The sequence below is a fragment of the Homo sapiens genome, chromosome 17 (genome assembly GCF_000001405.40).
Source record: "Homo sapiens chromosome 17, GRCh38.p14 Primary Assembly".
Taxonomy (NCBI): Eukaryota; Metazoa; Chordata; class Mammalia; order Primates; family Hominidae; genus Homo; species Homo sapiens.
This window is the reverse complement of record NC_000017.11, coordinates 18,644,412-18,657,608: the sequence shown is the minus strand read 5'-3', so window position 1 is coordinate 18,657,608 and position 13,197 is coordinate 18,644,412. Positions and strand designations below refer to the sequence as shown.

The 13,197-nt window shown below is 42.4% G+C and overlaps 1 pseudogene, besides 2 other annotated features; it reads right to left on the bottom strand.

The window, feature by feature from the left end:
* Positions 1 to 5,869: 5,869 nt before the first annotated feature.
* PAIP1P2 (PAIP1 pseudogene 2) lies at positions 5,870 to 7,242 on the bottom strand (annotated as a pseudogene).
* Positions 6,825 to 7,325: an enhancer, noted in NCBI's record as "H3K27ac hESC enhancer chr17:18553597-18554097 (GRCh37/hg19 assembly coordinates)". NCBI's record gives its function as "activates a minimal SCP1, AML or CMV promoter by ChIP-STARR-seq in primed H9 embryonic stem cells {active_cell/tissue: H9 hESC(primed)}" and the evidence as "EXISTENCE:reporter gene assay evidence [ECO:0000049][PMID:30033119]".
* Positions 12,250 to 12,751: an enhancer, noted in NCBI's record as "H3K4me1 hESC enhancer chr17:18548171-18548672 (GRCh37/hg19 assembly coordinates)". NCBI's record gives its function as "activates a minimal SCP1, AML or CMV promoter by ChIP-STARR-seq in naive H9 embryonic stem cells {active_cell/tissue: H9 hESC(naive)}" and the evidence as "EXISTENCE:reporter gene assay evidence [ECO:0000049][PMID:30033119]".

Genomic DNA, 13,197 nt, shown 5'->3' with positions numbered 1-13,197 from the left:
CTTTTAAAAATATGTGTTTATCGGTTGGGCGCGGTGGCTCACGCCTGTAATCCCAGCACTTTGGGAGGCTGAGGCGGGTGGATCATGAGGTCAAGAGATCGAGACCATCCTGGCCAACATGGTGAAACCCTGTCTCTACTAAAAATACAAAAATTAGCTGGGTGTGGTGGCTACTAGGGAGGCTGAGGCAGGAGAATCGCTTGAACCCAGGAGATGCAGGTTGCAGTGAGCCGAGATTGAGTCACTGCACTCCAGCCTGATGACAGACCAAGACTCCGTCTCAAAAAAAAAAACAATGTGTTTATCAGAAGATGACTCAAGTTGGAAGCCTGCTTTCTTCCCTTCCTTGTGTAATTCTTTCTGGGCCCCAACTAGGCAGTCTTGGGACCCGTAGCCATGTGAGCTGTCCCTCTCCATAAGTTTTATTGACAAGGTAGAAGGCTATTCCCTGTAGTAATAAATATAAAATGTGGCATCTGGTCCTACTGTGTAGTTTCCACTTATAAACCTCAAAAAATTAGATGTTTTTACTGAATTGTTTTTTATTTTTTTCATGATGTAACCTCTGTTTATAAATCCCTTAGATTGAGTGGACTATACAAAAAAGGTGCATGCTTCACCTCCCTCCCACTCCCACCAATTCATGAAACACGTAATCATCATGTTAGCAAAGTTCACATATCTGGGGCAATCCATGGAGTCAAACTAGAGATAAATGCTTTGCTATTAATAGATCGAGGACTGTCCGCCTCCATCTCTGCTCTGGCTTCCTCTCTGTTGGATGTGCTTTTCTTAGTCTCTTGCAGCGACAAATAGCCTACTGGCACTTGGAAGTTATATTACAGTTCTTGGCATTCACAATTCCAAGGAAAGTACCTCTTTCCAAATAGCTCCAGCAAAATCCCTGAGGCTACTTCTCCACTTTGCTTGAGTCATGCTGATCACTGAACCTTTTATAATACCACCCTGGAAATGGGGTCCTCTCATCGACCAGGCTTGAGTCTGTGTAAAACCCTGGAGGAAGAGAGGGTGGAGTCCATCCCATTGATGCAACTTGCACTGTGGGTGGGGACAGGGTGCTTCCCTCAAATAAATCCAAAGATGCTGTGCAGGTAAAACAAACACTGCTATTGGAAGTTAACTTCAGCATGAATAAGACAATCTGGCCTCCTGCTCCCCAACTATTCCCCCCACAAGAGCAGTTTTTCAAAGATCAAACAGTGATAACATTGACAGAAGTTTAAAACCTAAGAAAGTTGGGTGCAGTAGCTCATGCCTGTAATCTCAGCACTTTGGGAGGCCAAGGCGGACAGATCACGAGGTCAGGAGATTGAGACCATCCTGGCAACACGGTGAAACCCCGTCTCTACTAAAAATAACAAAAAAATTAGCCAGGCATGGTGGCTGGCGCCTGTAGTCCCAGCTACTCGGGAGGCTGAGGCAGGAGAATGACGTGAACCTGGGAGGCAGAGCTTGCTTGCAGTGAGCCAAGATCGTGCCACTGCACTCCAGCCTGGGTGACACAGCGAGACTCCATCTCAAAAAAAAAAAAAAAACAAAAAAACCAACTAAGGAAGTATTTCCAACATTGATTTCATAGAGTTTCTGTGAGGGTTATGTGAAATTATATATGTGAAAGGGCTTTGTTGCACATTGCTGAGTTATATTTTGATGATAATTTTCTATTCTTTGAGACCAGGCTCTAGTATACAAAAAGCATGGACCTCTCACCAGGGTGCCATTTCTTAATGCTAACTTGTGCTACCTGTCCTTTGTGGCCTGGCAGGGAGTCTTTGCTCATCAGTAGTCATTTAGGGACCCAAGATGGTATAGGGCAGCCACCACCATAAATATTACTTTTGCCATATCAAAAACATAGTTTTATGTATGGTTGATTCAATTCCCAGTCTTGTGACCTATGCATCTCATGTTGTAGTGACTCAAACCTGCTGGGTTATCCAGGACTGTAATTTTTTTTTTTTTTTTTTGAGGCAGAGTCTCTCTCTGTCGCCCAGGCTGGAGTGCAGTGGCGCGATCTCGGCTCACTGCAAGCTCCACCTCCCAGGTTAATGCTATTCTCCTGCCTCAGCCTCCCAAGTAGCTGTGACTACAGGCGCCCGCCACCACGCCCGGCTGATTTTTTGCATTTTTAGTAGAGATGGGGTTTCACTGTGCTAGCCAGGATGGTCTCGATCTCCTGACCTCGTGATCCACCCGCCTAAGCCTCCCAAAGTGCTGGGATTACAGGCGTGAGCCACCACGCCCGGCCCAGGACTGTAATTTTTAAAAACCCATGGTGAGATCTAGCTTCAGATATGACTGGATTCAGATATTCAGAAGATGTCATCAGCTCATTCTCTTGCTATCTCAGCACCATTTAATTCCATCTGAATTTATAATTAACACTTCATAATTTATTATAATAACTATCAGAATGAAGGAGAGTAAAATCCTTTATTGGAGTATAACACATGATTATTTCAAAGAGGAGTTGATCAGTGTTCCCCTGAGAGTAAGAATGCATTATATACAGTGTGGACATCTCCAGGGCCTTCCAAACATAAGTAAGTATACAGTTTCTGAAACATTTGTTTTAGTAACATATCTATACAAAATTAAACTAGGGAAGGTTTCCCTTCTCTTTGGTCTGACACCTCTTCCCATAAACAGAGCAGCTCTTACAATCATTTTGAACTAATTAATAACTATAGGACATACCAAACAAACCCAAGTATTTCTTACATTTTCCTGTTTATGAGTGCCATATCATAAGCTCCAAGATAAGGGTCTGTTTTGGCTTTGTTCATATATATATATATATATATATATATATATATATATATATATATATATATATGTATGTATAATGAAAAGCATAACACAGAACAAAGCACAAAACTGTAGTTCTGATGAGAGACAATTTCTACTATTTGGGCAGATTACACAGAAGGTAAAGAATGATCTTTCCCTTTCTCTTGTTGAACAAACTATCATTTAAGCAAAGATAACCGAAGTTTAATCTTTTTAAATATAATATTTTGAATTAAAGATTTCATAGATTTTAATGAACTCATCAAAATCAAGCCAACTTTTGTCAAAATTTTAATACATTTTATTTCTTCTTTTCAGAATTTGCAGCTATTATAAAGCACAAGTAAAGTTCACTTTCCCCCAAACCTTCCAAAACTTACAGCATCCTCTCCAGTTTTATGCTTTAACTATCTTTTGCATTCTGCAACAACCACACATTTCACTCTAAGAGAAAAATAGTCCTGTTTTCTTTTGATAAACAAAAACATAACATTTTCTTTCTACATGTTTAGGGATCCCCAAGACCACCCTCAGGTTCAATGATTCACTAGAAGGATTCCCAGGACTCAGCATGTTGTCATTTTCTTGGCTGTGGTTTATTATAGTAAAAGGACACACAGCAAAACCAGTAAAGAGAAAAGGCTCATGGGGCGGCAAGGTCTGGAGGAAACAAGGAACAAGCTTCCCCGAGTCCTCTCCCAGTGAAGTCACACAAGACTTGCTCATTTCCCCCAGCAAGGAGTTGTGACAGCATGTGTGAAATGTGATCTATCAGGGAAGCTCAGTAGAGATTCAAATCCCAAGGTTTGTACTGGGTGCTAGTCACATAGGCAGTCTCTGTCTAGCATGTACCAAAACTCCAGACTTCAGAAGGAAAGCAGGTGTTCAGCATAAGCTTCATTGTTTTTACAGACAGTTTAGGAGCAGTGATCCACTTTAATTCTGGAATTAGCGGGAACGATCCCAAAGTTATACTTCCCAGATGCCCGCCTGTGGCCAACCTTGTAGGCAAGTCTTTCTAAAGATAGCAGGCTCGGACTTGCTATGTTAACTTTTCTGCACAGTTTCGTTGCCACTATTGTTTTCATACAGCCTCCCAGCCACTCATATTAATCACAAATTTGCTAACCAAAGAAATTAACTGGGATGTAGATAATCAGAACTCTCTACATTAGACAGGCAACTTAGCAGATGAGCAAAACTCACAAACACACATAAAATGACCTCCTGCAGCCACACATCCCTTTTACACCTTCTTAGCACACACATTTCCATGCTCTTTCTACTGAAACGGGCTAAAAGCAATGACATCTCAGTTGCAATGAGCCCAGATCTTGGTTTCTGATACCGTTCTCTGCTAAAAGGAACTAAGGCTCCTCAGAAAAATGGCTGATTGCAGGTCTGAGGGAAGGAAACTCCAAGAAGATCCTGGAACATCTTATTCCAGAAAAAAAAAAAAGTAGCACTCAAAAAAATGATGAGGGTAGGTCACAAAGACACAGGAAGTAGCCCTCACTGACTAAATCCAGAACAATTTGAGCAGCAAAACAAGAAAATGATGAATTGCAAACCATTGAAGAAGTAGTAGTCCATGAGTTCACATTGATAATAAGTAAATAAATGAGCGATAACAGAGGACACTTGCTTACCGCAGAATATCCTATGCCAATGGGTAAATGCGAAGGGAATGTTGGAGCTGGAAAACTATCATTTTGTAGCCATAACAGTAAAGACTGATTCAAGCAAGAATCAATGGATGCTAAATCTAAGGGGAAATTTTGATGAGGAACAGGATATTTGCATAGAATTGAAGTATCTTTTCCAGAGATTGCTTGTTATGATTAGCAATTGCAAGGCAAAAAATAATTATATAGTGGAAGAACTGGGAAAAACTTTGATTACATGATCAAAATTAATATGAGTAAGCAGCACATGGCCATTCTGTGCCTCAGATGTGATACCATGAGAAGGACACAGCATAATGTGTGTACTATTCTGGCTGGGAATGCATAACAGGAATCTAATCATGAAGAAATATTTGACAAACTCCAAAATGAGGACTATTAAAAGGACTGCATTCTTCAAAAATATTTTTTTTAGAGGAAACAGAACTATTTAAGCTTTATTTTCAAAGTCTAATTTTAATTCAGACTGAACAAACAAGCAGAAAAGTGAGAAAGCTAACTGTATTAGCAGACACAGATGTACCAAATGTAAAACAGTGGGTTATTAACAGAACTATTTACATGCATATTTACAAGCAATCCTTTTGTACATAGTTTTTAGTTAGCTGGAAAAAGATTTGACATTAGGTAAAAATATTATTTATTAGGGCTGAGGTGGTACCACATTATAGTAAAAGTATTAGAAAAGTGACCCTCAAGGTGTATCAATTATAAAGCAGATGAAAACTTGAATGACAAATATCTAGTAAAATTCTCTAGTAAAAAAGTCGATGCAACCCATGCTACAAAATAAAAGTGAGAAAGCCATATAAATAAAGCAGAATAATGTTCTAGGCTTTAAGGTAATGAAGTTAGTCAGTTGAAAAAATAAAAATAAAAAAGAACAATTCTAGAATTGGAATAAATCTTCAGTGAAGTCTTGGCTGTTTAGCTGGGAGTTCACCAAGTTGGGATTTCCCCCCCATGACATTTAAAAAGCCCTTGGTATCAAATAGCATCTGCATATGTAAATCAGTTGTTGATATATTCCAAGACTTTAGTGCTAAAGATTTTCAAGATTATGATTCATATTTGAAATTCAATTCATTGGGACACTAAATGTCAAACTAAAATGAAAGCTATAATACTCCTACCTAAAAAAGGATGCTACATTTTTGCAGTGATATGTATTTCCAGAGGAAGACTTTTTCACCTCAAGAAAAGTAGAATTTAAAGGATAAGCATCTAACCAACTAGCAAAATTTTCAACATTTCATTTATTTCAAAATCGATTTTATTGCAGCCAAAACAGTAGAATTAACTGTACATAATAAACTATTATATATATATATATACACACATATATATATATATATATATATATATATATATATATATACACATTTTAAGTTATAGGGAATAAAGTTTATTTTGGCAGATAGTGTTAAACAAAATTAAAGTTGCATACATTAGTAACATAACTCAACATCCTTAATTTGGTATAGATGTGACACATTTTCTTGCTCTCCTGTGTTCTGCTAAATCACCATACCTAAACTGCTTTATAAAACTGATATGCTGAAATTTAACTTTACTGTTTTCGCTTACGCTCTGATTCCAAACAAAACTTTTCATAAGCTTCTTCTATCTCTGGGTCCATCTCATCATCAATATCATCCAAGTATGGATCACCAGCCCCGGATAAATCTGTTCCATTTTCTTCATAATCTGGAAAAAAGTCCTCTCTTTCAAGTAATTCTTGGTATTTCTCTTGGTAATCTGGATCAGCTGCAGTGAAAGGAACACCATCAGATGTATAAAATGTTGGTTCATTCATAAAGTAGTTAGGATCATTTTCTGGTGTTGCTTCTCTATATGTTGAAGTTGCATGGACTCTACCCCAGTTACTTGACCGGAGTTCTACAAGCTTCAAGAGCATCTGTTTTACATCTCTACTGCAGTTTGCATCTAGGACAACGTTTTCAATTCTCTGAATAATTTCTTCCATATCCATCTTTCCTTTTTCCTTCCAAGCATCTTCCAAAACTGATCCTGTCAATTTTAACAATTTTACTGCACAAATTAAATTGTCATCCATAGGATTAGAAAACAGGGCATTCAGCAATTCTCGAAGACCAACCTGAAGAATATCTGCTCTTGTAACCTGTCCATTTGTTCCCTTGATCTCCAGGTTAAGATAAAGTTCTCCCAGAAAGAATACAAATGCATGAAATCGTTTTCGAGTAACTTCATCCCCTTTTGCAGCTTGATCTTTAACTTCATATTCAGTCCGACATCTTTGAAGTAGCAATTGGCGGAAGTTGCCACTCTGTGGGCTAATTGTCAGATGATGGGACAGGTAATTACACAGGCGAGCTCCCATATAAGAGAAATTTGGGATAGACGTGGCCTGTTGATAGATGAGTTCCGCAAGTTCTTGCAAAGCATCATCTGTTGTAACGCAACCATTCAGGGTCTCTGCAAACTGTTCAATTTCAGTTTCAAAACTGCCAGGCTGCTCTGTAAGATGATTCAAAAAATCCTGAACATATTCTGATGGAGTAGGATAATCCTCACAACCAACCTCATAGGATTCTGTGTAACTGGAGGAATAACCTGAAGGGTAAAATTCAGGGGCATTCACAGACAGCTTAGACCTTAATACAGGAGCTACAACCACCTGGGGCTTAGCCATTGCTGACTCCGAGTTCTGCTGTGGGATTTTATCCTGTGAACTAGGTGGAGCTCTCAGGGACCTCGTTTGCTCTGGGAGCGCCCCGGGCGGGGAAGGCCGCTGGGGGCTGGCGGGGACCTCGCACTGGGCCCCTGGCGGCGGGGTCGTCCTGGGCTGGCGCAGCGGCGGTGGCTGCAGGAAGCCCGGGGCTTTGGGTTGCGGCGGCTGGTGCCGCGCCCGCTCAGCAGGCCCCGCTCCGTTCGGGCCTTCAAAAATATTAATGTCACATAAGACAAGGAAAAGCTGAATAACTTCCAAATTAAAAGAGACTAAAGCATCATGACAACTAAATACAATACAGGATCTTTGACTAGGTCTTGTGTGAGAGAAAATCTCCTAAAGACATTGTTGGTTCAATTTTTCAAAACTGGAATACAAGCAGTAGAATAGATAAAAGTAATGTATTGATGTTAAATTTACTGCAGTTGATAACTGTATCATGGTTGTGTAAAGTATTAATAATATCCTCATTATTGAGAAATGCATATTGGAAGTATTTAGAGGTAAAGAAGAGTAATGTATGAAATTGAAATGATTCAAGAAAAATTTGTATATAGAAAGAGCAAATGATAAAACAAGCAGGATTAAACGTTAACTGTGTGTCAGTCTAAGAGGAACCTGGCTATCCTTTGTAATTCTATTGTAGTCTTTGTGTAAATTTCAGGTTACTTCCAAATTTAGAAAAAAATTAAGTGAACACATATATTGACCCAAAGTTAGACCCATTCTGTAACATGAAAATACAAGGCAAAAATATATATAATACAACTATGTTAAAAGACCCTTTTTTCTATCTTACCTAAAACTTAACATCTCCAATGATTATCCATTAATAAGCTCTTTTTATTTTATTTTATTTATTTTATTTTTTTTTTTGAGACGGAGTCTTGCTCTGTAGTCCAGGCTGGAGTGCAGTGGCGCCATCTCGGCTCACTGCAACCTCCAACTCCTGGGTTCAAGCGATTCTCCTGCCTCAGCCTCCCTAGTAGCTGCGATTACAGGCGCCCGCCACCACGCCCGGCTGATTTTTTGTATTTTTAGTAGAGACAGGGTTTCACCATGTTAGCCAGGATGGTCTCAATCTCCTGCCCTCGTGATCCGCCGGCCTCGGCCTCCCACAGTGCTAGGATTACAGGCGTGAGCCACCGTGCCCGGCCTAATAAGCTCTTTGTTTTTTCCTTTTCTTTCTTTCTTTCTTTTTTTTTTTTTTTTTTGAGACTGAGTCTGGCTCTGTCGCCCAGGCTGGAGTGCGATCTCCGCTCACTGCAAGCTCCGCCTCCCGGGCTCACGTCATTCTCCTGTCTCAGCCTCCTCTCCTGCCTCCTGTCTCAGCCTGTAGCTGGGTCTACAGGCGCCCGCCACCACGCCCGGCTAATTTTTTTTGTAGTTTTTAGTAGAGATGGAGTTTCACCTTGTTAGCCACGATGGTCTCCATCTGACCTCGTGATCAGCCCGCCTCGGCCTCCCAAAATGCTGGGATTACAGGCGTGAGCCACCACGCCCAGCCAAGCTCTTTCTTAAAGAGAAGATATTTCCACCTTTAACTGACAAAATCCCAAAAATTTATGTCAAGAATTTATTTTTAAAAACTTCTCGAAGATCATTTAGAAAGATTGATAACCACATTGGAAAAAGTATAAAAAATTGCATAGACCCCTGAAAATATGATTATATACATTTTCTTTTTTTGTTGTTTTTTTGAGACGGAGTTTTGCTCTTGAAGCACAGGCTGGAGTGCAATGGTGCAATCTCGGCTCACTGCAACCTCTGCCTCCCGGGTTCAAGCGATTCTCCTGCCTCAGCCTCCTGAGTAGCTGGGATTACAGGCGTACGCACCACCACGCGAGTTTCGCTCTTGTCCCCCGCGCTTGAGTGCAGTGGCACGTTCTTGGCTCACTGCAACATCTGCCTCCCGGTTTCCAGCAATTCTCCCACCTCAACCTCCCGAGTAGCTGGGATTACAGGCGCCTGCCACCATGGCGAGCTAATTTTTTTTTGTATTTTTAGTAGAGACGGGGTTTCATCATGTTAGCCAGGCTGGTCTCGAACTCCGGACCTCAAGAGATCCGCCCACCTCGGCCTCCCAAAGTACTGGGATTACAAGCATGAGCCACCGTGCCCAGCCTGATTATATACATTTTCAATAAACATTTATGAAAGTGGTATCAGGCCTTTTAATAATCAGAAGACCAAAATAAATGAAAACGAAATAACATTATCCACTAACCAGAATATATAAAAGGAAGACTGACAAAATCAGGTGTTGGAAAGGACATCTAATTAGAACTCTCAAACTTGTGGTTGGGTTATATATTAGTCAAAAAAATCTTTGGAATTAAAATTTAATTGATAAATTGTATGTATTTGTGCTATACCACATTTTACATACACACACACACACATTGTAGAATAGCTAAATCTGTGTATATATATGTATAGCAACAGACAGACATTGTAGAATGGCTAAATCAAGCTACCTAGCATATCAGTTACCTCAGATACTTATCTTTTTTTTTTTGTGGTGAGAACATTTAAAATCTGCTGTCTCAACAATTTCAAGTATTACCACATTGTTATTAACTGTAGTCAACATGTTGTACAATAGAGCTCTTGAGCTTTTCCTCCTAGCTGACATTTTTAGTGACATGCGTTGCATTTGAACATATGCAGTTACCATGACCAAGCTATTTTATTTGTAGGGCTGTACTTAACTAAAATATCTATACATGTGTACCAAAAGAAATTAACAAGAATGTTCATAGTGGCTTTATTGCTTGTAGTCCCAAATTAGAAACAAACCAATGTCCATCAACAGTAGAATTGGTAGATGTGCCATATTCATGCAGAGCACCACTGAGCAGGGAAAAGAAATGAACTGCTTGGGCCGGGCACGGTGGCTCACGCCTGTAATCCCAGCACTTTGGGAGGCTGAGGGGGACGGATCACTAGGTCAGGAGATTGAGACCATCCTGGCTAACACAGTGAAACCTCATCTCTGCTACAAATACAAAAAAATTAGCTGGGCATGGTGGCAAGCGCCTGTAAGTCCCAGCTACTCGGGAGGCTGAGGCAGGAGAATGGTGTGAACCTGGGAGGCAGAGCTTGCAGTGAGCCGAGATCGCATCACTGCACTCCAGCCTGGCCGACAGAGCGAAACTCCATCTCGAAAAAAAAAAAAAAAAAAGAACTGCTTCATGAAACCACTTGAAGGAGTGTCACAAATGTAATGCTGGGCCAAAGAAGCCACACACAAAACCATTCCTACTGAATGGCCCTCCATGCATCCATTTATGAAACAGACAACACTAATTGGGGCTGCTAAAAACCAGGTGACTCTTTGCTTTGACAAGACAGGTGGGCAGTGGTTAGGGAGCAGACCTTCAGGAGAGGGATTTCCAGATTGTTATTTTTATTTCATTTTCTTGGACTGTGTGGTAGCTCCAAGCATGTGTCCTCTTTGTGATAAATCACTGAGTAGTAGAATAATAGGATTCCTGTGTATATTATACTTTAATAAACATATTTGAATTCCTTTTTCCATTAGGACAAATAATATAAAACATAATAAATCTTTGCAATTTTAATATTATTTCTAGTTGATGAAAAATAAGTCACCTGAAGGATTCCAAACTTGCGCATTTCAATATAGAACTTACATGTTCTAATATATATTTCTAGAGATCCAAAACTGTCTGATTAATGTCATTTGAGTGTAAAAAAGCACAGTTATGTTTACAATTTGCTCTCTAATCTTTTACTTGAAGTTAAGCTAATTATCCACATCCATCAATGAAACTGCTTTCACAGAAGAGTCCAATCCATGGCATAAATGACAGGAACTTTAGAAAAGTCATTTCTTCTTCATTGTTTATGTAAAAACATTAAATTTCTTAGAAACACAGGCCAGCAAACTCCCAGTTTAGTGTTGCTTTCATTGCTTTCTGTAGTCTTGTTACCAGAGAAGATTTTTATGTTCCAGAATTGCACAGAGGGAAAACCTGACTATTATGGTTACCACTGTGGCCATCAAGACAAGGCACTTGATTCCTAGGATCCCAGCAATGACCCTCCCTGGAGGTGATGGGAATTAAGAGACCTGCTATGGAAATTGTGGGGGCTGAGTAAACAGTATCTACAAATCTTTCTCTGTGTCTGATACTTGAAGTCCACAGGCAGTAAACAAGGGAAGACTGCAGAACAGGCAGGGAGGGATTCCATGAGCAAGAGCTGGAACCCCATAAAAATAAAGTGAAACCCATGTTCATGAAGCTAAACACAGGCCAGTAACCCAGCAGTCAGAGAAACTAAAGGAAAAATCCAAGGAAAGGCAGAGCAATTACAGGCTTAGCTGCTGTTTCATGGCAGTGAGATAAGTCAGCAGATCAGCAACAAGTGGTGTGTGTGTGTGTGTGTGTGTGTGTGTGTGTGCGCGCGCGCTCCCACGCGCACGTGACCACTTGCTACGAAATTCGTTTTATTCCAGTGTGTGAGTGTGCACCTGTGTGCGTGTGTGCACTCCTGTTGACCCAGTTTCTGCTCTGTGGCCAGGTCCATGACCCTAGACGACCCCAGGTGTGCCCTCGATGACGTCTGCAGGGATGGAGCACCGCCCCTGCCATTGGGTATTGCACTGTGTGATGCCATCCTCGGGGCCCTCAGGGTGATGGAACCCAATAGGCTTCCTTAGGCTTTCCTTTCAGATGGACAGGAAATAGATGATGTTCCATTGTCATTTTGTTTTCTTTCTTTCCATGGATTCTGTGACCATCTTCCTCTCCTCATTGACTCTGCCAGAAGGGGATTCCTGGTGGGGCAAGGGTAGCTGGTGGGAAATGAGCTACCAGGAAATTAGCAAAGGGTCTTCTGGCCATCTGGGGACAGTTCTCATGTGGTCCCCAGCCCAGTCTCGAGGCTTCTGGGCCGGTCACCCTGCAGCCTCGGTGCTGCGCCTCTGGATCCAGCCTCCGCAGGAAGAACCCTGGGAGACCCAGCAAAACGGGGTGCCTGGTCTGACAAACGTCCCCCCGTTCCTCTGGCTCTGCGGCTCAGGAATAGGCCGAGACATCATGTCCAGGCAGTGCCAGGCCACCTCACTGCCCCCTTTAAGGTTGAGCGCAGAGGGCTTTTGGGGGCGAGCATGAAGCTGGGCACCCAGAGCCTGAGGCCGACTGTCCCTCCCTGTGTCCTGGAGTGGGGGCCTTGACCCGAGAAGACCCCCAGGGGATGGCCTGTGGGTGCTGATGTGGGGAGGGGAGGTCTGTGGACTGAGGGGGGTCATTGGCAGGGGACATTGATCACCGCGGCTCAGGGTTCTGCTCAGTGGGGTCAGTGGGAACGTGGTCAGTGAAGGCCTGGTCAGTGGGGGCCTGGTCAGTGGGGGTCTGGCTGGCAGAAGCCTGGCCAGGTGGCAGCTAGGTGACTTCAGGCAGGGTTTGTCCTTGGAGCCTCCTTGCCGCCATCTGTAGTGGGAACGAGTCATGGCACTCCGGAGGGCTGCTGGGAAGAGGAGGTGAGCAGGTGTGTGGAATCCAGCCCTGCCAAACAGATCTAGCACTTTACAGCCTAGATGAGTCCCCTGCTAGGGAGGGGACCTGCCCTTTGCCTTTTGCCCCCAACCCTCAACCTTCTGCCCCCTATCTTCCATCTGCAATCCCAGGAATGCCCTGGATGGGGAGGTCTGAGTTTAGGGAGCACCTGTGGATGCTCTGATGATGGCCATGGGTCCCGAGGGGGGAGAGAGTGACAAGGGTGACCCAGTGTCCTGGGTGCACATATGAGTGGGGCAGCTGGGCCTAGCCAGAGCAGTGACAAACGCATGCACACATGTGTTCACCCACATACACGTGCATGCTCACATGCACAAACACTGCACACACGCACGTTGACACTTCAAGGGGTGGAGGGTGCTGACTCTGGTCCCGGCTGACCCAGGCAGGGGCCCATTGTGATGGGTGTCATGACCTCACAATGTCACTGGTGCTGAGCACT